Here is a 26,009-nt window from a genome sequence, read left to right on the forward strand (position 1 = left end):
CTGCACTGTGTGCTGGTTCTGCAGCTGCATATGAAGTCGACTTTCCCTATCTGAGGGGCCCCCATTGTTCCTCAAGTGATGCTGTGTTCCTGCTGGGACTTGCAAATAATCTCCCCAAGGTTACAGATGAGGTCCAGGGATCTCACCTCTGTTTGTTCATCTGGAAATCTAGAGAGCTCGTGGGGAGGATAGGCAGAAACAGGATGAGTATCAGCTATTTGCTCTCCTAACAAGATGGGGTTTGATTAAATCTACGCCAGTGTCCTTGCTGGAGAAAGAGGAGGTGAATGGGATTTGGGGAACAACTTAGAAAAGAGGCTGAGGAGGTTCCCTCTAGATGGAAGAAACAATCCTATGAAGAAACCAGAAAGAAAAACATTCCAAAAACTGTTCCAAATACATACTAGGGAACACCAGAAGCCTCTGTTCTGCTCTCAACTTGGCCGCATGTTCCTAAACACATCCCTTTCTTTCACCTTGGGCTTCAGGGTCTTCACCTGCTGAGTGAAGGGCTTGGATGAGATCAACCATCTTGGAAAGAAGGAGATGACACCTTGAGTGCCGGCTACCATGGACGGCTCAAACAAGTCGGGACAATTTGACACCTAGGAAAAGTGCTCCATATGTTCCACTGGGCCTGTCAAAAGACCCACAGTTACAAATACACAAATCCACATCTGAGAAGCGTTTGGTAGCAGAGACCCTCTCCTCAGAGAGGTGGTGAGGACTTGACAAGGGCCACAGATCTAAGCCAGGATGTGGCCTTAACAGATTTGCCCTGATTCACATGGAAATAACAAGGGGCATTTTGTTTGGAGAAGAAAAACTGAAGACAACCCATTATTTGGAGAATTAGACTAGAAGTTCCTGAGGAGGCAAGGCCCTGGCCTTATTTGACCAGCGTAGTTCGGTGCCTGTCTCATAAAAAGGTGACTGCAAACTATCTGTGGAAAAGACTAAGTGTGCAGAAGAGAAGGAAAGAATGGGTTTCTGCAGCTGCTAAGGACAGCCTGGACCCAGGAGAGGGGTCGGTAATTTCAACCTTGAGTTACCCTAAAATGTAAAAATGCTGCCTCATGAAAGGGTGAGCTCCCCCTCACTGGGGGTGATCAAGCAGAAGCCTGAAGACCTGTAGATTGTGCTGGGGAAGTGACTCATTCCTACCTTGAATGGCAGGATGAGCTAAGTGATGAGAATTCTATAATTCTATGAGTGCTCAATAGTCAACAGCTCTGGAAATCCTTTCCTCAAGGTGTCTCTTGCTTCTAACTATCCACCTCCTCTCTCCACAAACTTCACTGCCATGCCCCCAGGTCTCTGGCCTGGATGCTACAATAGCTTCCTTGAAGGCTGTCCATTCCCTTCCATCCAGACTGAACCGCCCCTGGCCTCTGCCAGTCTTCCCTTGTGCACAATGATACTATCTTTGTGGATATGGCTCTTGCCACATCCTTCCTGCTTAAAAACCTTCAACAGTTCTCTTCTGCCTGCTAGATGTAAGATGCCCGCCTACGTAGGACACGAACAGCCCTCTCTATTCTCCTGTAAGCTCTCAGCATGTGGTTTCCAAGTGGGACTGTCGGGGGTGGGGTGTCTTCTCACTGCCCAGGGAAATCCACCTCCTCACTTCTCTACCCAACCCAATTCTGGCTCATCCTAGCAATCTATAAAGACTTTTCTAGCTCACACCAGCAGGAGCTCCTCAAGTCTTATGACAACTGTTGTCTCTACTGCCCATATTGGTTCTAATTGTTTCCTAATTGCTTCATGGGATACTGTCTCATTTCCCCAGTGAGACTCCAGCTCCCTCATGGTACAGCACGCTGGTAACCTCTGAAGACCCTCCTCTCCAGGGCTAAACTCACAGGGGTTGGGGGTGCGGTGAAGAGACTGGGAATAAGCTGTGCTCTTCCCACCAGTTTACCTGCTGCAGTTTCTTCCCTAAGTCAAGAAAAGGAGGTAGCTCAGGGACCATCGGCTTGGAATTTCCTCTCCCTTCTAGCTACTGAGATGGTCTTGGTAACACAAGAAGCACTGAATCACAGGCAAATGAGCAAAAAGCCTCCCAGAGAGAAAATGAGTCATCCGTGGGTACTAAGGGGCTCAAAAGTGGACCCAAATTAGGCCTGATCTGCCTTCCTGAATGAAGCCCATTGTACATTCTGGGTCCCCTCCTCCCTTTAAAATTTCTCAGGTCTTTACCAGAAAGATAGCTGCATCCTTTGTAATAAAACTGAAATAACATGAAACAAAGTTATCAATCCTTAGCCTCTCTCAGCCAAGACTGAGGTATAATAAAAACAGATGTCCAAAGCCTAATGCTGTACAGGATGCTTTGCACATCCACTCTGTTTAGATTTGATATTGTTACCAGAAATAAACACTCATTAGATTAAAACCAGGAATTTTGCTAGTCTAACAGGAAAAGAAAAATGTAAAATTCTCATTACCTTCCTTCGCAAATATCCATCTTCAGTTGTAAGAAATACAAGTGCCTATGAAACAATTGTTTTCATTAATTCATACTCAAACTGAAATAAGCAAAAAAAAAAAAAAAAGAAAGTTTGATGAGTCAAAGACAAGAGCTGTACATGTGAAAGATACATAAAAATACGGTTTTGGTCCAAGGTATCAGGTGCTACCTTACGCTCTGCAAAGCTGCCCTGTCATTACTGATGGCTCATGTTGATGCCCTACGTCTTGACTGGTGGGGGCAATTTTCTGCCAGCACAGGCTGTCCTATGAAGAGCTGAGCAGGGATGAATGGGGTGGAAACAGCCCACCAAAGATGGGCTGGTACTATGGGTTCCGCTGTCAGTGAGCGCCCCTGCCCTTGAGGACCAGAACCCACAGGGGCTCTGCACAAGCGGCGCCCACACACTGGCAGGGCCACTGTTCTGAACACTGTGCCAGGATCCATCCACCCAAGCTCCATCTGCATGAAGTTGCTAAAAGGAGGGGAGTCTGTGAAGACACCTTCTTGGCTGGGGTACAAACCCCCAGGTGAGCATTCTGTGTCCCAGGAACTGTGGGTGCATGAGCAAAAGCATAAACATCAGTAAACTAGAAGTTTCCAGGACCTCCAAGCTGAATTCTGCACTCATCTCTGGGCAACCAGCAAATGTAACTTCCAAACTCCAGACCTGTTTTGTGGGCAAGTCGTGGCAGGCCCCTCAGCCTGTGACTTTGCTCCTCTGCCTGGGGAGCGGGGAAAGGAGGCCTTCGGCAGCATTGCGCAGGTCAGGAAGCGCCCTGGGGAGACTTCTATTTAGGGATGCGGCATACATGTGACACTTGGCCACTAGCTCCCATGCTTTTTTAAACCCAGATTCAAACGGGATAGACATTCCATTGTCTGGCCAAGATGACAAAAGGGAAACCTCTTGAAATCTAATATAGACAGGGCAGAAGTGCACAGGGGCAGGAGAGAAATAATTTTCACAATTGAAACAAATCAGTTTCATTATTCCTTCAAATTTATAAAGGCCAAGGAACTGGCTTTTTGAGATGGGAATGCTTCAAACAGTATTACAACCTCCTATTTGCACAGTTCCGGGCTTTGTACATGGTACTACTTTGTAACTTTCCCTCTTATCTCAGCCTCATAACTCTGTAAGGTAGGTACCACTATCTCCATTTTTACAGATGACAAAATCGGAGCTCAGATAGGATATGTGAGGTCAATTGTGTCTTATTTTAACCTGGATGATCATGTTATAAAAAAACTCACTATGCTACAAATTTCTTATATGTTTAATGGCTAAAAAGCTTAGGATCCATGTCGTAACTCTAATATTATTACTTTGATTATAATTAACTACCCACAATGTATTGAACACCTGGCCTTGAGAGACAGTATAACATACATTTGCTGATTCACACCTATTTGGTATTGGAATCTCCATCTTTTCCACCTAGGAGAACATCATCAGTTCTTTCTAGTTTGTTTCTATGTTTATCCAAGCTGACATTCAACCAGAATTAAGTGTTCTCTCCTCCTACAATGCTACTGAGAGAAAAAAAGAGAAAGGAGAGTTATAGATAATCCAATGGTGAACCCGGGCTTTCATTGACAAGCTCAGCTAATCAGTATGTCTTCCTAGGGATATAAATGAGAAGATAAACGTGGAGATCACCACTCACCAAATGCTGCCTTGTCATATATTGAGCAAAGTTTCTGAGTCAACCCCATGGCATCATACACAAAGAAACTAGAATAGTGGAACCCAACCCGAGCTTGGGAGACTTCCTAGGAATCTTGAAGGAGCCTAGTTTTGAGATTGCCAGTATATAAAATTCTGCAAAGAATGATCTAAATTTATCAGAAACAGCAGTTGTGGAGGCTCACAATGAAGAAGATATTTATTTAACAATTAGAATACAGGATAGTTCTTTAGAAGAGATGCCTGGGATGCCTAACTTCAGAAATGTAATGACCTCTCTTGTGGGTACCCCACCTGTGACCTCAACTTCAGAAAAATGTAATGACCTCTCTGCCTAGATCCTTAACAAACAAACAAAAACTAACAGATACCACCTCTATACATCTTCTTTGACTCTTGAGAGCTAAAATTTCCTTCAGAGGGAATTTCCTTAAACAGGAACTACAAAGCTGGGGTAAGATAACTATGTTCCAGGAATATAGGTAAAATCTTTTAAGTTTTTTTATTTTTCATTTTTTTAATTTTTAATTTTTTTAAAGCATGTGAATTAATGGTAGAAGCCTGGTCCAAGATAAGATGATCTGGCAGCTAGTCGTGGTGGTATGTGCCTATAATCCCAGCTACTCAGGAGGCTGAGGGAGGATCCTTTGAGTCCAGGAGTTTGAGGCCAGTCTGGGCAACATAGCAAGACCCTGTTTCAAAAAATATATATATATATCTGGCAGTCCTGGTGGCCCACCAGCTCTATAAGAGTTATGGGGGTGGCTCCCACCATGGCTCCTGTTGCAGTAAGATAAATCTGGTGCCCAAATCCCAGAAGGTCATAGTTACATTCTACTCCACAACGGGATACCACCCTTCTTAAGATGGAAGGTGGGGGTGGGGTGTCAGTTGTCAACCAGTGAATTTTAGAAGAGACAGACACACACTGTTTATTACTCATTCTGTGCTAAAATCTGCCTCCCTGTAGCCTCCACCCACTGGCCACAATTCTACGACCCTGCACATCTAGTTCCCCTTTTCCCATGACTACTCTTCGGACACCTGAAGGCAGCCTTCATTTGTGCCCGAGGCTTCTCTCCATCATGAATGCCCTACATTTCCACAGATGTCCCTCAAATGACAGGAAGGCTCAGCAGGAAGATTTTGTCAGCTCCCAGAGAAGTGGGCTTCTCTTCCACAGCGTATGGAAGTGGATGGCCAATGGCCAGGATGGGCCCTGGAGACAAACTCCTAGGTTGCACTGGCCGTAGGAAACCTCTCCCTCAAGTTTGGCCACTGGAGGGCTCTAATGTGCCCAGTGGATGCCACAAACCTGGGGCTCTAGTGTTATGGGAAGGCAGGAGGCAGGTGACAATCACTAGTTTAGGCAGTGCCGTCCAGACTTGGGGTTGGAACCTCCCAGTTGGTTGTACAATCAATTTAATGCGTCACAGTTGGCAAGTTTTTAAAAAAAGGAAGTAAGGCCGGGCACAGAGGCTCATGCCTGTAATCCCAGCACTTTGGGAGGCCGAGGCGGGCAGATCACAAGGTCAAGAGATCGAGACCATCCTGGCCAACATGGTGAAACCCCACCTCTCCTAAAGATACAAAAATTAGCTGGGCTTGATGGCACACGCCTGTAGTCCTAGCTACTCAGGAGGCTGAGGCAGGAGAATCGCTTGAACCCGGGAGGCCGAGGTTACAGTGAGCTGAGAGCGCGCCACTGCACTCCAGCCTGGGTGACAGAGCGAGCTCCGTCTCAAAAAAAAAAAAAAAAAAAAAGGAAATAAAACAGAATAGAAAACTTCAGAGTACCTGGTACTTACTATAGTTTTATAAAACGTTTGCTTCAGTAATTTATATATGTGTACTGTATTCTGAAACAAAATATATTTTTACTTTGGAGTTGTGATTTTTAAAAAACCCACTGGTTAGAACCACACACACGTACACATGTACATACATACATAATCACACACATTATATATAATATATATAAAAGACACATATACATGTAAACACACACATATTATGTTGTTTTTAAGACATCCCTTCAACAGAGCCTTTTTTTTTTTTCTGCAACAGGGTCTCAGTCGATCACTTAGGCTGGAGTACATGGCTTGATCATGGCTCACTGCAGCCTTGAACTTCTGGGCTCAAGTGATCCTCCTAGTTAGCCTCCTGAGATGCTGACACATGCACCACCACACCTGACTACTTTTTTATTTTTATTTTTGTAGAGGCAGGGTCTTGCTATGTGGCCCAGGCTGGTTTCAAACTCCTGGCCTCAAGTGACCCTCCCGCCTTGGGTTCCTGAAGTGCTGGGAAGCTCACAAGTATGAGCCACCATGCCTGGCCCAGAGTGTGTTATTTAGTACTGGCCTGAGGAAACCTTGGTAGGGTCATTTCAAACACATTCTTATAGATTTCATCACCAGCTCTGTGTCCGTCAGCTTATGAAGTAACCTGCTGGGCTGAGTGTTTCTATCCTATCCCCAGTTTACCAGCATAAAGAGCTGGTATGGGGAAAACTCAGAGGACAGGGCATGCTTCTGTGTGGTCACCGGATGTGTCATACCAGACACCTTGGACATTGGCTTAAAAAGTAATAAAAAATACAGTCAAATTCCCAGTGTCTGCTATAGTAGAGGGAGGAGGTGCACAAAGAAGGCAAAATACAGTAACAGATTAATATTTGGCCTTTCAACATATTACAAGTTAAAATGTGATGTAATTACTGCTAAAAAAAATTAACAAGGCAACACTCTGTGTCTGAGTTAATGCTGCCTCCTTGATTATGTCTTTTGGCCACGATGAATGTAAAACAGGATTCAATACTAAGCATCTATTGCTTTTTTTCTATAGCTTCCCTCCCTAAGAAAAATAAATGGATCAATAATAAAAGGGCTTAACGTTGCCACAGGGGAGGGAAAGTTTGTTTGTGCAGTCTGTGTTAAAACAGCAACAACTTTCTTGTGCTACACTCTCCTACTCCATTCCAATTACTCTGTCCCTCACACCTAGAAAAACCCCAGTACCAGCCCAGGGTTGGGAGAGACTCCAAGCCCTGAGGGGTAAACAACTCCTATCACAGCCCTCTTTCCCTTATCTGGTTCACATATTTCCTGTACTTGCTGATTCACTGAGAAGACAAGCTGAATCCAGCCTGCTCTCCTTTCTAACTCTTGCAAACTGGGGATCTGATAGAAAATTCTTATAACAAAGCTGGCCTGGTGACTCATGCCTATAATCCCAGCACCTTGGGAGGCTGAGGCAGGCAGATCACTTGAGGTCAGGAGTTTGAGACCAGCCTGGACGACATGGAAACCCCATCTCCGTTAAAAAAAAAAAAAAAAAAAATTAGCCAGGCATGGTGGTACCTGCCTGTAATCCTAGCTACTCGGGAGGCTGAGGTGGGAGGATCGCTTGAACCTGGGAGGCGGAGGTTGCAGTGAGCCAAGCTCGCACCTCTGCGCTCCAGCCAGGGTGAAGAGAGAGACTCCGTCTCAAAACAAAAAAAAAGAAAGAAAATTCTTATAACAAGAGATGTCTTGTTATCTTCAAGAGCCTTGATTTTAGCTCTTCAGAGACATCATGCTATTTGACCTGTGGATGACTATTTTACAAATTTGTCTTCTACATCCTGCCTACATTGGTAGAAAATGACTTTTTGTCCTTTGAGCACAGTGTGTTCAGCAGGCAGGAGAGGCCAGGGAGGTGGAAGGAGGTGGGAGAGGTAGGAGGTGGCAGATGGGAGTATGCTGGGAATGGCAGCAAATCAGGAGATAAGAGAAGCAGGCCCAAGACTGAAAACTCATTAGGTGATTAAAATGTCAGTATGTGCACCCCAGATTTTTACTTGGATCATCATTGTTGGTGTAGTTACACCCAAATGAAGTTATTTGGCCATAGTAATAAAATGAAGAGTACATTTTTAGTGGTTACTCATTTTTATACACTAAACAGAAAACTTTAAAAAAATGTTGTTACCTGGTTTGTTCTTGCTGCAGTGTGTTGGGATCAGGTATAAAAAATCTTACTCGAAAATGCAGGGTACAGGGGAAACCTCCTACAACATTTTTCAAAAACAAATTAAATTTTCCCTTTGACAAAGTCAATGTATGTAAGTTGCTTCTCTTCCATAAGTGATGCATTTTTTCACTCAACCATAGCTTTTTCCATTATAAAAGGGCTAATTTCAAACATGGAGTACATAAGTTAGTTGTTTCAGAAATCTCCAAGTCTTCAAAAAGTAAAACATTTATGCAACATCAGCACAGACTGAGTTATCATCTACTTCCTAGCACACGTTTATCTTAGGGCTGTGTTTAAACATTGCACTCCGTCATCTGTATTAGGAATTTAAAAAATCCTTAAATCGGCATTATTATGCAAAATATACAAAGAAATAATAGCCTGCGTTTGTGTAGCCATTTATAAGTTTCAAGCATTTTCATGTACATTCCTGCATTTCAACACCACCATGACTATGAGTGGGCTACGCTGCTACTGGTAGCCCCATTTTACAGATAAGCCAATTAGAGGTGACTTGCCTTAGGTCACACAGCTGGTGACAAAACCAGAATTAGAGTAATGAGATCTTTGATTCTGCTATACCACATTTCAAAATCATTTTTAAACTAGAAAATATCTCATGCTTTTAATGTAAAGTATATTAAGTTAGTATACTAGTAAATCACACAATGAACATATTCAAATACGGCTTTATGCATCAACATCTAGAGTCAATTTGCTTGTGTGGATAAAATTAGTCCATTTCTTCTCACAGAGACGGCAACAGGAGAAGATCAGATTGTGCTGCTAAGATCCCAAGATCTTCATGTCAATTTCACCATCATCCCTCAGTAAATATTCGCCAGCCCTATCTAGGCACTGAGCACTTTCTTGCTCTCTGCAACTCAAGTCCTTCTCACTAGCCTGCTAGATCTCCTCCTCTACCTGAGATCATCCTGAGCTCTACCCTCCCTGCTCTTTAGTGCTTTCTTTCTTCATCTGCAGCGTGTGTTCAAAGAATCCCTAACGGGGGTGTGCCCCTGAGTACACCTGTCCACATGTCTAGGTACCAGCGGATGGCGCTATGACAATCTGCACATCAGGGGAGAACAATGTCCTCCTGCTGCCTTGGGATGCTTGTTCACCTCCCCTCCCCCTCTTCTAAAACTTTTCATCTCTGCGCTGCAGGCATAGCCTCTTTTTCTTTCTGGCTGTCCCCTATCGTGTGCTTACTATTATCATAGAATGTCGAACCCTCTGGGCTGTCTGCACACTTGGCTGTGGGCTCCTTGAGGGGAGAGTCCAAATTTGATCTGGACTGGATTCCCAGGGCTTAGCCCAGCACCTTGCCACAGTCTGAGCTCAGGATACGTTCACCGAAAGCAGGAGTTAATGAGAGAATGAATGACAACACCTATTCATGCCTTGTGTGGACTCATTCCTGGGGACTTGGATGAGGCAGGTATTTGTCTGCAAGTGGCCCTGAGGCTCCCACAGGTACTTCTGAACGCAGAGGATGCAGCTCATGGGAGGGAAGAACTTTGAGAATCGGGCTCCCTGTGGGGGCAGCAGTGAGACGGGAGCGAAGGCCACTGTGTCTACTTCTTCCTGCCTGGGTGCTGAGGCAGGTGTGCGTGTGTGTGTTGGGGGGCATCCTGTGTATGCGCACCTGCGTGCGCAAATCCACTTGCCCTTCTCCACTCCGCCATGCACTGGCCACTTTTTGTGTGTGTTGGGCACCTTGGGGATGCAGAGAGAAATATAACAAGGGTCCTAACCTCAAGGAACTTGCAGTTCTGAGAGGGAACTAAAGGCAACTAACACAGATGAGGACAAGAGCATTCAGAACCCCAACACGGGTGATGGTAAATCTAAGAGAATGTCGAGGGAGCCACCCACAGTTTCTAGGAGAGGAAATGAGATCTGAGCAGCCTTGAAAAAAGGCAGGATTTCGACAGAGGGAAGTGGGAGGGAAAAGCATTCCCAGCAGATGGAACAGACTGAGGGGAGGCACTGGGAGGCCCTGCAGATCAGCCAGGTTGGTCTGGGGCATGAGTGGCATAAAGGGGAACAATGCTGGCAATGTTGGAACATCAGGCCGAGAGCAGATCAGGGCAGAGGGTGGACTATGGTGTGGCCTGACTGGCCACCGAACTGGGAGTTAGCTGCAGCACTGGGATTCACTCCTGAGAGATAAGCGGTAGTTTGGAAGACTTAATCTTTTATATTGGTGACATTACCTACTTATGGTTCGGTTTTCCGTGAACGCGACTATGCTGTTGGAAAGTATGAGGTGTTTGTGTTTGTCTATCTCCCTGTCTCTCTTGTCCACCCTGGCTCTCACATCGGGCTAAGTAAGGCCATCCTCCTTCCTTTTCCTTCCTTGAATACAGAAATGTGGGTTCCCTCGCTCTGAGCTGCCTACTCTCACCCTTCCCCTTCTTTCCCACAGCTGGGGCGGATCCTAGAGGGCTGATCTGGAAGCATCTCTGCTGACTCAGAAGTCAGACAGGGAGAAGTCGGCTCACTCATGACTCCTGGACACCCGGAACTACAGGTACCAGATGTCACAGGCACTGACGATTGGAGGGGAGAAACAGGCTGTGATACACTAACACCTAATGTTCGACTGAAATGAAAAGATCACACCAACCTTTTAACTGCTTCCTGATGGCTTTGCTTGCTTCCAGCCATCTCTGTTGGACAAGAAAACATAAAATATAAAAGCAAACCGTGAAGGAGTTCAGCACATTTTTTAAAAATGGCACTTACAGGAGAGTCCACGGAGTCGTCATCATGCTGTAAACCAAAATATTCCTTTTCAGTCACACCCAGGTGGTTGTGCACCATATCCAGAAGAACCTGGCCAGTGTCTTGTTTCTAGAACAAAGGAAATTATCAAGTGGGAAAAGTCTTAAATTAATTGGTGGTAAAAACATCTTTACTGTAGGCAAAAAAGAGTTAAAATATTCAGAAATGCTATGCACACACACTTCCCACCACAAGAAAAGCTTTAATAAATTTTAAGAAGCCACACAGCACATATGGGAAGTAGGGCTAAGAAAAATGACATCAACACAAGACAATACGAGTTTAATTTAATTGTCTAAGATTTCTTCCTTCCCCCTTAGCTGCAATTCCCAAGTGATAATGTCTAAATCGGAAAACTCAGCTCTCATAATCACAGTGAACTCCCTGTGGCCTCCAGTGGATTATCCACAATGAAATGCTAACCCCAGGGTGGTTTCTGTTGGCTCCTCAGGACACACCTGTGGCTCCTACTCCTGGAGAAGCCACCGAAGTGCATGTCCAGGAAAGGAAAGCTCTCACCTAACAGCCTAAAGGAAGACAGCTAAAAATACTCAACTGCCATTCAAAATACCCTCAGAGTGATGTGGCCTGTGCCACCCTGTGGGATTATCTGCCTCCCTGCTTCCCCTTCCCATCATCTGAAGTGAGAAGCTGAGGGGCACGTTCAACCACACGCCTCTTCAGATCAGGACTCCATTGCCTTCCCCGCTCCATGTTTATGGGGCAGGCACGGTGTGGGAATGGGGACACGGCCATAAGAAGCTCCCTTTTCCTGCCCCAGCCATGGAGGCAGTGGCTGTAACAGAGTGTCAAAGGCCGTCGAGGGCTGTGAAACAGTCGAGGCACAGTGGACACCCAACGGGACCACACAAATGGTCATCTCGACTGGGGCCGTAGAGGAAGCAACCCCCTGATCTGGGTTTGGGAGGAGGACAGGGCCAAGCATCACCCCTCCCCTCCAGGCACACGAGCTAAAAACAGGCCTTTGGATCAGATGGCCCGGCACAAAGGCCCAGGGATGGCAAACAGCATGGAGTGTTTGGAAAACTGCAAATTCTACTTTAACAGGCAGACTTTGCAGGAATCCTTTGAACCAAACCATTTAACTAAAGGACAATATGAGTCAGAAATAGACCGTGTATAGAACAGGCAAAGGTAGCTCCTTTTTTTGAGTGCCTGAGAGCAAATAATGTACTTGAAAATAGGTCACAGTGACCAGCATTGGGAGAATTAGATAACTGTCAGGCCCCACCTGCAGAGACTTCTTTGGGGCAGCCTCAGATTATTCGGTCTGAAGTGTGGGAACATGAAACACGCCCATTTCCTGAACATGCCCCCTTTCCTGCCCAACAGCGCTTGTACCTCCTGCTCCTTCTACCCAGGGCACCATCCATCAGAAAAGAATCACAATAGGTGGGGAAAGAATGACCCAGACCACACATTGCACATTACCAGATGTCAAAAAGCTAGCTGCTCCCCTTGTCGGAATTATTTATGTATGATTTTATATTACATTTAATATATATTATTAACTACAATTTACTGAACATCTACAAGGAGCCAGACATTATGCCAATGTGCTTTTTATATATGATCTCTAATCTTTGCAGCAACTTTGCAAAGTGTAGTAGTCATCACCATCTCCCTTGCCAACGAGCAGAGGCACCGAGAGGCTCCGTGCCTTGCACCATCAGCAGAAGGACAGTCTGACTGCCTGACTCAGGTCTGTTTGTTCCTACTACATCTCCTCCTCTGAAGTGCATAATTCACATATACAGGTATCTATTCTGCATAATTCATCCAGTTCTCAAGAGAAATTAAAATGTAATAACAAAAAACACATTTATAATAAGAAAAGGCCTCCTGGCCTGGCCCCTGCCCTCAAGAGGTCATCTTCACGGCACCAGGTCACCACCAGGGCTCGCTCCCTGGGCTGAGAGAAGAACGACTGATATCCAAGTCAGCTTCCCTGACATCTGCTCCTGGTCACAAGGTGGGCTGGGCTAAAGAGTCTGAATGAGACTGTGCAAACAATTCCTACACATAGAAAGACACAAAGTGAGGGATACTCCAAGTTGCAACCAGGCCCTCCAACTTCTCAAGTTCCATGGGACTCAGCTTTGAACCAGGCTGCTGGAAGCTTGGGGTGGCAGCCACGTGATAAGAACAATGACGTTCATAACTAAGAATTTCTGGGTGCTCACTGTTTGCCAGGCTCTAAGACTTTTTTATTTTTTTAGAGACAGGGTCTTGCTCCACTGCCCCTGCTGGAGTGCAGTGGTACAATTAGCTCACTGTAACCTCAAACTCCTGGGCTCAAGGGATCCTCCTGCTTTGGCCTCTCAAAGTGCTGAGAATACAGGCATTAACCACTGCACCCAGCCTGTTGTAAGGCTTGATATGATGCTCACTCGGGGTAGGTGCTTGCTTTCTCCCCTTTTCACAGAGCTGATCACTCTTCCTCCTGCTGGGATTCTCAGACATTCGCTCTTGGCCTCCTCCCGCCTCCCTGGCTGGTCCTTCTCAGACTCCTTTAGTGCCTGCTCCTCACCTCTCCTACCCTTAAGCACCGTTCGCAGCTTCCATCCACTTGCTTCTCAGGGGATCTCCTCCAGTTTCAAGCTTGAAATCCCATCTCTATCCTGGTGACATCCACATCTGTATCCCCAGCCTGGACCCATCCCCTAACCTCCTGACTCTTCTATCTCGTACCATTCCTATACTGCTACACAGATGAATAACAGGCCTCTCCCCCACAATATGCCCACAGCAGAACTGATTACTTCTACCCTGAGACCTGTTCTTCCCACAGTCTTCCCCATCTCAATAAACTGCAACTCTATTTTGCTGCATTGCTCAGGCCAAAAATCTGGGATTCACCTTGAGGCCTCCTGTTCTTTCGCATTCCAAATCCCATCTATCAGCAAACCCTATTGACTCCACCTTCAAAGTACTTCTGGGCTCAGTTTCCTCTTAGCCAGCCCCACACAGCCACCATGTCCAATGGTCATCATCTCCGCCCTGGACTGCCACACCAGTCTTTCAGCCCCTTCCCTCCTATTGTCAACTGTGGACAGAGCCCCAGTGCTTTCCACCTCATGTAGGAAAAAAAGCCAGTGCCCTCAGAATGATCTACAAGGCTCCATGCGATCCCCCACCCCTTACCCCTGTTATCTCTCTGAGCTTATCTTCTGCTACCCTCCCCCCTTGCTCATTCCACTCCAGACTCCACTGTGTTCTGCAACCAAAGGAAGTGGGCTCCAGCCTCAGGGCCTTTGCACTGCTGTTCCTTCTCCCTGGGATGTGCTCCCTCCAGATGAACGCCTGGTTCTTTCATCTCATCAGTGGGGACGTCTCTGGTTACGTCTATACAATGGTAACCTCACCTTGCCCTGGCACTCTCTCCCTCTTGCTCTACTTTATTTTTCTGCAAAGCCCGACTCAGCACATATTTTTTTATGGCCCATCTCCCCTGCTGGGATGTTAGCTTCAAAAACGCAGGGATTTTGTTCTGTTTTGTGCACTGTTGCCATTTTTTGTACCCAGAACAAAGCTTAGCCCATAGTAAGTGCTCAGTAAACATATGCTGAATGAATACATGAGTTATATACTAACAAACATTCATGTTTTCGTCAGGAAGAGGATAAACGGTTAAAGAACAGCTCCAAGACAGACAAACACACATTTTAACAAAGAAGCCAGACACATACTAAACTATTAGTGTACAGCATCTGGAAGAGACATCTGTGACCTTCATGGAGCTTGTGTAATCACAAAATTCTATGAAAGATTATGTTAAAAGGAAATCAGATACAAGACAAGGTTCTGTAGAACCAAACTAGTTGCCTTTTAAGGGAAATATTTACAACCTTGCCAACAGACCCCTAAATCAGTGGTTCTCTAACTGCACGGCACATTGAGACAACTCGGGGAGCCATTACAATACAGATTCTCAGGCCCCACCCCACAGAGAGCAAGTTTCAAAACACCCAGGCAGGACAAGGGATTGACATCTTTAACACACATCGTAGGAGCTTCTGACACACTTTAAGAAATGTTTACCAAAGCTGAGCAATCTAAAGTGGGGACTATGAACTACTAAAGACTGCTTCCATTTTAATTAAGATAAAATACAAAATTTAAGCCAGGCATGGTAGCTCATGCTTTACAATTCCAGCACTTCAGGAAGCTAAAGTGGGAGGGTCGCCTGAGCTCAGGAATTTGAGACCAGCCTGGACAAGTTAGTGAGACCTCGTTTCTACAAAAAAATAAAAAAATTAGATGGGTGTAGTGGTGTGTGCCTGTAGTCCCAGCTGCTTGGGAGGCTGAAGTGGGAGGATTGCTTAAGCCCAGGAGGTTGAGGCTGCAGTGAGCTGGGATTACACCACTGCACTCCAGCCTGGGTGACAGAGAAAGACCTTGTTTCAGGAAAAAAAAAAAAAAATTAGTTATTCAGGTATATTTCAAATGTCCAATTGCCACATGCGGCTGGGGGGCTCCCCTATGGGTTAGTGCAGACACAGAATATTTCCAGAATTGCAGAATATTCTTTTGGACAGTCCTCCTGAGAGGATGTTTTCCTCCAAAGTGGCTTCTGAAGAAACAGGTCACAGGTATACGTTGTAGCCCCTCTAATTAGACTTTGGAGACACCTAACTAGACAACTGAATTTCCTTGCTGGAGTTTTCACTTGTTACAACAATGTTTCCCACCTACAAAAAAATGATGCCCTGACACTGGGGAATAGCTGGAGGCCTGGGTGCTCGTGGAAGAGTGGGGCAGAAGGCTGGGAAACATCCATCTCTACTGCCCATTCCCACTCTCTGCCAGGCGAAGGGCCCAAACTTCCATGACTTTGGTTGTCCACCTGAGTCTTCTGCACTGACAGGGAGACGTCTGCAGCCAAGGCACTGGGCCACCGCCCCATGCCTGCTGAAAAGGAGATACAGCACCCACCGTGCTAAAACTCCACGCAAACTGCCTTCTCCTCCTGCCTACATCAAGGTCCATGATCACCTGGGATTGGCAGTGGGCAAACTTGTATGGGGTGTGCGGAAGACCCAGGGATCAGTTTTTGTCACCCTTTGCATTCTTGTGGCCTTTTATTGTTCCCTCAATTGTTCTCTCATCCCATCTTCTCTTCTGATGTCTTTCCTTGCACACTGAACTTTACAGGTTGGGGCAGATCCTAGCAGCCAGTTCAGGGTTGGGACTGATCCTGTTAGGACTGGCCAGAGGATGGAAGAGGTCATGGGCAAAGGTCACGGGCTCGGTGGTGACTGGGGTGGGTGGGCACCATAGGCAGCCATGGTCCCAGTATCTTCCTGCAGCTGGCCTGGGAGACTGGAGACCTCGTTTCTAGTGCTGGCTCTGCCACGGGCTTTAAGTGGGATGAGCCAGAACCTCCCCAAGCCCTGCCATCTGTGAGGCTGATTGTTTCACAACCCACTCACTCACACATTTAACGAGCACATGCTGTGTGCCCAGCTTTGTGCCAGGCACGGGGGAAACAACACCCTTTCTATTCTTTCCTGTTTTCAAGGAGCTCAGTTTCATGGGCAACATATACCCTAATCACTACTTGAAAAAATGCAACCTGACGTGGGCTCTAATGAAGCATATATAGGGTGCCATGATGCCTCCAGATGTTGGTGCTTCCGTGGAGTCCTCATCCACTTCCCAAACCAGTCTCCTTCAGAAAGTGGATGAGGACTTCCCAGAAGCACCAACATCTGAGCGTCAAACAGTTCACACCACACAGAAGGGCGGGGGGAAGACCCTCAGGGCAGAGGTGAAATTGGGGCAACATTTTTAAGTATTTCCAGTGCAATCTCAACATACAAGATCTGAGATCTCAAGCTTTCATTTTAAAATATTTTTTTCTTCATTTTGTGAGCCAAGAGATGAAAACTATTTGTTAGGAGCATTAATTCAGGAAAAGTAAAAAAAAAAAGTAGAGAACTTACAGTAACTTTAAAGGTCTGTACCACGCCATCTAAAAAGTGGATGCTGCAAATGACTTCTGATCGAGTTTTCTCTTTGGGTAACTCCGAGGTGCGTATATTATTAATTCTTCCACCCAACGCACGTAACCGGGAGGTCATAACTATCGCTGAATAACCTGTAACATAAAATATACCTGTTAGTGCTTTAATATGCGAATTGTCAGTTACTTGTGAGTGCAGATACCTGTCAGATCCCATCCTCTCGATACTGTCTGACGGACTCACAGATAATGAGAACTACATAGCAGATCATGTTTCCAATTGAGTTTTGACTTCTAAGATGCTCTAAGCAATATGTATTGCTAAATTGTACGTTCACAGAATTACGTGGCTTATTTGCATGTCTTATTAACTCCCTGGTCTGAGTCTTCTAATTTATATTTCCCAGGCTTTTAAATTTTTATTTATGTTTCACAATTTTATGTATTTGTGTTCTACCTCTAAGGTTTTACAGAACTAAACATGGTATAAATATGATTTCAAATGTGAAAAGACTCATTGATAAACTGATATTAAAATTAAGGACCTCTATTCATTGAGAGACACCATTTAGGGCAGCAAAAAGGCAACCGATAGAGTGGGAGGAGATAGTCGCAATATATACATCTGCCAAGAATATATGGAGTGCTCCTGCTAACCTAGTGAGAGGAAGTAACAGAAAACTCCTTAGAAAACAGGAAGAAAACAAAAACAGGTACTCAACCATATTAGCTGTCAAAGAAATGCAAATTAAACCCACAAAGCAATAGTACCACACACCCACCAGAGAACCCCTATGATTCAAGACTGGCAAAACCACGGAGGGTGTGGAGCAACCAGAACTCTCACATGCTGCTGGTGAAAGCATAACTCAGTGCAACCACTGTACGATGGAAAACTGCTGAATAGTATCTACTAAAGCTCAACATATGCATTTATTGTGATAGAACAATTTCAGTCATGGGCACATTCCCAGCAGAAAAATGTATATTCACTCACTAAAAGACATGTACCAGCATCTTGTGGGAGCTAAACTTTGAGAACATATGGACACAAAGAAGGGAGCAATAGCTACCAGGGCCTACGTGAGGGTGAAGTGTGGGAGGAGGGTGAGGATTGCAAAACTACCTTTCGGGTACTATGCTTATGACGCATTTGACAAAATAATCTGTACACCAAATCTCCAAGACACTCAATTTACCTATATAACAAACCTGCACATGTACTCAGAACTTGTAAGCTAAAAAAAATTTTTTTTAAAGTCACGACAATTCAAAGATTTGGACCAAAATATGTATCTAATAAAATCATAATTTATAACAACAACAAAAAAGAATATTCATAATAATCCTAAGCTGGAAAAGACCCCATTTATCAAATGTGGAACGGATAAACTGTGGTACAGTCATACCATATACTACTATACAGCAAAAGAAAGAAATGAACTACCATTACATGCAAAACGTGAATCAATTGCTTTAACATTGAGCAAAAGATATGAGACACAACAGATTATCTGCTGCATGATTCCATTTATGTAAAGTTTACAAACAGGCAAAACTAATCAATGCTGATAGAAGAAAGGATAATGGTTACCTTTGTGTGTAGTGAGGGGAAGGGGGAGATGCATTTTCTGAGATGCTTTTAACATTCTATTTCGTGATGTGGGTGCTAATGACACTGGTGTACTCACTTTGTGACAATTTACCAAGCTCTACATTTATGATTTGTGTACTTTTCCATATGTATGTTTTAATAACAAGTTTACTTTTTTGAAAAAGAGAGTATAATATTTATGAAGAGAGAATTAGAGGGCATTCAAAATCTGACCATGATATTAGGGAACAGTAAGGAAACTGGTTTAACCGGTGATTTCAATGGTGGAGAGGTAGGCAAAAAGACTGGAAAGGTGTGCAACTGAGGACATGACTATATCACGTAGGTGGGAGGATCTAGGCTTCTACAAAGAATACATGAAGCAGCCGGGCACGGTGGTTCACGCCTGTAATCCCAGCACTTTGGGAGGCCGAAGCGGGCGGGTCACCTGAGGTCAGGAGTTCGAGATCAGCTGGCCAACATGATGAAACCTCATCTGTACCAAACATACAAAACTAGCCAGGCATGGTGGCATGCACCTCTAATCCCAGCACTTTGGGAGGCTGAAGCAGACGGATCACCTGAGATCAGGAGTTCGAGACCAGCCTGGCCAACATGGTGAAATTTCATCTCTACTAAACATACAAAATTAGCTGGGCACGGTGGCATGCGCCAGTAATCCCAGCTACTCCAGAGGCTGAGGCAGGAGAATCACTTGAACCCAGGAGGCGGAGGCTGCAGTGAGCTGAGATCTCGCCATTGCACTCCCTGGGCAAAAAGAACAAAACTCTGTCTCAAAAAAAAAAAAAAAAAAAAAAAGAATATGTGAAGTAATTCTACAAATCAAATTGGCTCAGGGAACGGTGAAGATATAACTCTGACAGTGTTGGGTGGAAGAGCAAATAAAGATGAAGGGCCTGAGAGTAAGTTAACTTTTTTTTATTAATTCTCCACAAACTTTCTCTGATGAGCTGGGCCTCTGCATAGGCTATTCCTTCTGCTTGCAAAGCTCTTTCTGCTCCTCTTCATCTGATTAACTCCAGTTCATCGTCAGTGCTCAGCACAAGCATCACTTCCTCTGGGAAGCCTTCCCTGGTCTCCCTAACCAGTCACAGATTTGTGTGACAGAGTTCACTCACTAGTGCTTACCCTCATTTCACACTTAGAACTCATGATGTGTATTTAATATCTGCTTCTCCCACTAGATGCGAAGCCCCACAAGGCTAGGTCTGCTTTTGCTCATTGTACCTCCAAACCTAGGTCTGGTAGAGTTAGTAAATGTCCGAATGAATGGAAGGAAGAATGAAATAGAAAATGAAGCTAAATTTTATAGTCTATATAACATAGACTATATAGCAGTACTGCAGTACAACAATACCGTATAGCAATACAACAGGATAGACAAATTTGACAGAGAAAAATGGGGGAGGGTCTAAGTAGAATGTAGCTAGCTACGGTAGTGTGCACCTGTAGTCCCAGCTACTCTGGAGGCCAAGGTGGGAGGACTGTTTGAGCCCAGGCATTAGAGCCCAGCCTGGGCAACACAGCAAGACTCTATCTCTTAAAAAATGAAAGCAAGCAAGAAAAGAAAGAAGGAATGCAGAGGGGAGGGGAGACAGATGTCCCATAGACCAGTGCTTCTCACACTGCAGTGTGCATACAGAGTGCTTGGGGATCTTGTTAAAATGCAGACTCTGATTCAAGTAGGTCTTGATAGGACCCAAGAGTCTGCATCTTGTCTCCCAGGTGATGACCAAGCTGCTGCTGCCAGGGTCCATTCTGGCAGACGCAAGTCACGGGTAATTGGAAAAGTAGCGCCTAATGTCAGGGCATGGCTAGAGAAAAGATTTGGGAGTCAGTACCAAGGAGTAGTAGGTGACTCAGCTCTTAGACGGATGTGGCCAAAGCAGATTGGAGGACTAAGAAACAAGCTTCAGGGAATGACAGGGGGCACCGGTTAGGTGTAGAAAGAGAAACCGCAATGATGAAAGCTGTGCAGAAAGTACATCCAGGAAGAGAAGCACTTGGTCTCATATCATTATATTTAAGGAGCTCCAAGCAAACCTCCCTTCTTCCTTAGATAAGGATAGAGAGTCTGAAATACTAATAAAAAAAAAACTTCCTGGGACCAGCAGTGCAAAGGAACTTATTCAGTCGCTTATAAAATTCCACCCACCCCACCACCTCCGCCTTGCCCTTTCCAATGAAAATGTCATCAGAAGCAGGGATGCATTTTCTGAGTAATACAAAAAGTTATCAAAAGACAACAAATGTGTTCCATAATGCTTTAACCACATTGACTTTAAAATGTCAATTTTATTTTTTAGTTCTTGTCTAAGAATCTCAGGTGGGTTACATTTTTTTTTTTCAAAAGACACAATAGAACCATTTCAAGTTGGTTTTAGTGGGAGGTGCACATCAGAATCACCTGAGGAGCTTTTAAAACCTGCCTGTCCCCGCACCCCCAGTGGTGATTCAGCATCCTCAGGTGTGGCGCAGGATCACATTCCCTTTGGGAGCCCTCAAAGTAACAGCCAGGAAGACGAGGACTAAAGGAGTGGGTTTCCAGGGAACCTCAGGGTGTGTTTTGGATGGATGGCCTTAGAATACAGGCTCTGCGGAATCTAAGCCATGCACTATGTGGATGAATTCACTGTGTGTGATAAGAGGTGGGCAGTTGTTCTGTGGAACAGCTAAAGCAGAGATAGTCACACAATGACCCCAGGCAGAAAAAAACTAAGATTTGAAACAGGTGCCTCCAAATGAAAGTCACATGGGCTGATGCTCCAATGGTGGACACTGATTTCCAGACTTCACCTGAGCAGCTCCTGCTCGTGCTGGCGTGGGTGCCGCTGGGACTTATTCATTTCACCGTGGTTAGCAATGATGCTGTCCAGCACAGTCACACAGCTAGCTGACAAAATAAAGCCCACCAGCAACCCAGGAGAGACAGACTTCCCTTTCTCACACCCATCTCTGATTGTTACATAAAGGGCTTGAAACCTAATGACAATGTCATAAATAGGTATTTTATGAAAGCTGCAGAAATCTTCCTACAATGGTTCCTAAAGCAAACCTTGGTAAGAATGAGCCTGATGTTGAATAACCCAATAATTGAGCCATGTGGTATTTTCAGATTGTCTTGAAATTACATCTTAAACAATCTGGTCGGGACAATGGATGCTGACTAACTGCCCTGTTTCCTGTACTACAGCAATTGGGGAACTCAGGGTTTCTATGGCTTCCTTTATAAGCCTCTTAATTCTAAACAAAGCCACAACCCAACCAGGAACATGCTGGCCTCTCTGACACAAATGATTACAGCTGCTGCTGATGCATTTTATAATATGGAAGCCAAGCTTGTTCTTTGCATGAGTTTAAAAATCCATTATAGCTTTAGAATGTTTTAAACAATAGCAAACGAAGCTCTATTGTGGATACAGTTTTTTTTTTTGTTTGTTTGTTTGTTTTTTTGAGACAGAGTCTTGCTCTGTCCCCCAGGCTGGAGTACAGTGGCGTGATCTCGGCTCACTGCAAGCTCCTCCTCCCGGGTTCACGCCATTCTCCTGCCTCAGCCTCCTGAGCAGGTGGGACTACAGGCGCCCGCCACCACGCCCGGCTAATTTTTTGTATTTTTAGTAGAGACAGGGTTTCACCATGTTAGCCAGGATGGTCTCGATCTCCTGACCTCGTGATCCGCCCACCTCGGCCTCCCAAAGTGCTGGGATTACAGGCGTGAGCCACCGCGCCCGGCTGTGAATACAGTTTTTAATCAAAGATTATACTTGGAAAATACAGCAAGAGGCAACACCTCACTTTGTAAACAGTAGGGGCACAATAAAGACCATGAGAGTTAGAGTTGCACATGGAAAGTGCCTAGCACATGTGGGACACATACCAGGCACTCAATGAAAGGCATTTTATTAACGTTAAACTTCTAATGCCATTGGGTGCTGTCTACAGATTCCAGATTTTGTAGGGCAATCCTGATTTCAAACGACTTACAGATATATGAATGTTCCATTTCTTAAAGTTTTATGTATCCACTTTAATAAAGACAGCTTGCTAGAGTTAAAAGATAGTTGTGATAGATATGTGATACATCTTTGAGCTGCTCTACAAACTCAGGGGAACCAGAAGCAGTAGCATGCTGGCACAAATTGCCACACCCTGGGCCCATGAGACACCAGAGCCCTGGGAGTCAGGGTTGGGTAACAGGGCTGCTACTAGGGCTCCTCCCTGGCTGCCCTGAAGCCTGAGACAACGAAAGGGTAATGCCGCCGCTTTATTTCCAAAGGGTCTGTCTACATTCGGATCTGGGAAACTGTTCTTTCGCAAGCCAATGAACCATAGACACAAAGAAGGGAGAGGAACACATGCAAATGACAGAGCAAACCCAACTCCACTATTATAATTTTAAATAAAGAGGCCGGCGCAGTGGCTCACGCCTGTATTCCCAGCACTTTGGGAGGCCCAGGTGGGCAGATCACCTGAGGTCAGGAGTGTGATACCAGCCTGGCCAACATGGTGAAACCCCGTCTCTACTAAAAATACAAAAATTAGCTGGGTGTGGTGGGGCACGCCTGTTATCTCAGCTACTTGGGAGGCTGAGTCAGGAAAATCGCTCGAACCCGGGAAGCAGAGATTGCAATGAGCCAAGATCGCGCCATTGCACTCCAGCCTGAGCGACAGAGTGAGACTCTTATCTCAAATAAATAAATGGCAAAGTATTCCATATTCTTATTTTTTAAAGTAAGGGACTTAGGCCTCTAATTGAAGAATATGAGTTCCGTTGAAAAAAAGGAGGAGAATAAGAAAACAGTCTTGATTTATAAATACCCAATTTGTAAGTAACCTGTATAAATGAATCATGGGTGGCTCACTACAGTAATCAACCTACATCAAGCTGGCCTAGCCCAATGCCACCACCTAGTGGCGATCAGAGGAAGACATGCCACCTCCTACGCTGGCATTCAAGGGAAACAGGGACAGCTCTGCTCTTTCTTGCTTATCACTTCCAGTTCAGCTTATTTCAAAAATCCTTTTTGCAGTATAGAAGCCCTTCTCCGTGGCGCAGTCCCCTTTTCCCAATTCTTCCCTATGAACTCAGGAAAGCGCCTTCTTCCCTCTACTTTTTTTTTTTCCTTTTAGCTATTTCTGAGCTCCAACAGATGACCGATCTAGAGAAGGGCATTTCTAGCATGGAAAAGTACATGTACTATCAGCCACCCTAGACAATGATTCATCAAATTAAGTGCACTTCTCGTCAAATGCCAATATTTAACGTATTGCAGACACATGCTTCATTCATTTAGCAGCTAATATAGTACCAGCGTTGTTCTCTCTCGTCACTGTAGACACACAGATGCTGGGTTGCATTATGTGGTATCGAGTTCTTTGTGGGGCCAACCATGGCCCCAACAAGCAACAATCACTCGCATTGCTCACGCCTTTAGGAAGACAGAAACCATGCTTTCCTACTGCTGTTGGTACCTCAAAGAGGACAGCTTCTCATTCCAGTCTGTTTTAAAGCCAGGCCTAACTGTTCCTTAAACTCCTCTGAAGTAAGTGGGGTATTCCCTTCTAAAGATAAAATTTACTAGTGAGACCATCATATCTACAAAAAAAAAAAAAAATTAGCTGCATGTGGTGGCACCTGTCTGTAGTCCTAGGTATTTGGGAGGCTGAGGTGGGAGAATCGCTTGAGCCCAGGAGGTCAAGGCTGCAGGGAGCTATGACCGCACCACTGCTCTGCAGCCTGGGCAACAGAGCGAGACCTCATCCAAAAAAAAAAAAAAATTTACAAACACTTGGGTGGGGATTTATTTATCATTTATTAAGCACTAAGATGAGCTCAAACTAAGAATGTCTGCTCACTGATCAAGATATTAAAAAAATAGTGACTGAAATGAGACTTTCTTTTTAACCAGTGACTTAAAACTAGCGTACACAAGAATCATCTGGGGACTTGTTAAAAATGCAGATTCTTGGTTACCATCCACAGAGATTTTGGTTCAGTAAGGGCCCAGGAAACTGCATTGTAAAACAAAAAATAATTTTCTGGACTTATAGAAAAGTTGCAAGAAAAACAAACTCCTGTGTAACCCTTTTGCCCTGGATTCAATTGTTAACATTTTGGTACATACGCATCTTTTTTTTTTTTTTTGAGATGGAGTCTCACTCTTGCCCAGGCTGGAGTGCAGTGGCGCAATCTCAGCTCACTGCAACCTCCGTCTCCTGGGCTGAAGCAATTCTTGTGCCTCAGCCTCCCGAGTAGCTGGGGCTACAGGCCTGTGCCACCACGCCCAACTAATTTTTGTATTTTTAGTAGAGACAGTGTTTCACCATGTTGGCCTAGGCTGGTCTTGAACTCCTGACCTCAGGTGATTTGCCTGCCTTGGCCTCCCAAAGTGCTGGGATTACAGGCGTGAGCCATCGTGCCCGGCCCACATACACTTTATTTCCCATGTCTCTCATCTGTATACACACACAGACACACCAGGCTTTTCTCTGAACCACTTGCTGCAGAGATCATGCCCCTTTATCTCGAAATATTTTAGCATGTATCTCCCCCTAATAAGGGCATTTCATAACCACAGTACAATTATCACACTGAAGAAATTTAACTGATAAGCACTTATCTAATATCCAGTCCATACTAAAATTTTGCAAATTGTTCCAAAGATGTCCTTTATTTATCTTCCCCGATCCACAATCCAAATCAGGATCATGCCTGGTTTTACTTGTCATATGGAAGGCACTTTTTTTTTTTTTAAAGAGACAGGGTACTCATTATGTTGCCCAGGCTGGCCTCAAACTCCTGGGCTCAAGCAATCCTCCTGCCTCAGGCATCCTAAGAAGCTGGGACTACAAATGTATACCAACGCACCCAGCTTGAAGTTGCATTTTAAATAAATACCCCCTGACCCTCATGGCAATGGTGCAGCTGGTCTGAGAGCCACACGGTGGAAAATCTTCCACCAGACAATCTTCAGAGTTCCTTTTGGTTCTGCCTGTCTATGCTTACAGCCAGGGTCTTTGTTAGGTGGGCATCCTTATGTCAGTTTTACTGTCTACATTACAAGTCACCTCCCAGAGCTAAATAGAGTTTCTGTAGCTTGGCAGCTGTCCCATCACTCGGTCTGGGAGAAGTGCTTCCTAAATCATTGTTGATGAAGTAACAGATTTTCCAGTCTATATGTCAGTGCTGGGATTAGTACTGTTGTCTAAATAGAGAAGAAAGCAACAGGAAAACTGCCATCATTCAAAAAGGACTGTATCACTTGATATTGCATAACCAGATGTCTTGGCTTGTTCACTCAAATGAGTTCACATCATTCACCAACACCAATGCTTAACAATTTGTCCAAATTATAAAAGGCCACACAATGCACACACCCTTCCTCAGAAACCCGTTGAGTCAACCAGCACTTTCTTAAAGCAGCAGCAATGAAACAAG

At 44.9% G+C, this 26,009-nt stretch overlaps 1 protein-coding gene across 14 annotated transcripts in view; it reads right to left on the reverse strand.

Moving 5' to 3' along the window:
* PTPN3 (protein tyrosine phosphatase non-receptor type 3) overlaps positions 1 to 26,009 on the reverse strand; it is a 162,727-nt gene that overhangs the window by 70,667 nt on the left and 66,051 nt on the right. For 9 of the 14 annotated variants that reach the window (XM_011518888.3, NM_001145368.2, NM_002829.4 and 6 more), the window contains 5 exons: positions 16,937 to 17,091; positions 10,932 to 11,039; positions 10,813 to 10,855; positions 8,136 to 8,214; positions 2,451 to 2,495 (listed from right to left, as the gene is read on the reverse strand). In XM_011518888.3, coding sequence (XP_011517190.1) covers positions 2,451 to 2,495; positions 8,136 to 8,214; positions 10,813 to 10,855; positions 10,932 to 11,039; positions 16,937 to 17,091 — 430 coding nt within the window. Of the gene's footprint in view, positions 1 to 2,450; positions 5,025 to 8,135; positions 8,215 to 10,812; positions 10,856 to 10,931; positions 11,040 to 16,936; positions 17,092 to 26,009 lie in introns of those variants that run through there. The other 5 variants (NM_001145370.2, NM_001145369.2, XM_047423638.1 and 2 more) reach the window with 4 other exon arrangements.

The sequence above is a fragment of the Homo sapiens genome, chromosome 9 (assembly GCF_000001405.40).
Source record: "Homo sapiens chromosome 9, GRCh38.p14 Primary Assembly".
Classification (NCBI taxonomy): Eukaryota; Metazoa; Chordata; class Mammalia; order Primates; family Hominidae; genus Homo; species Homo sapiens.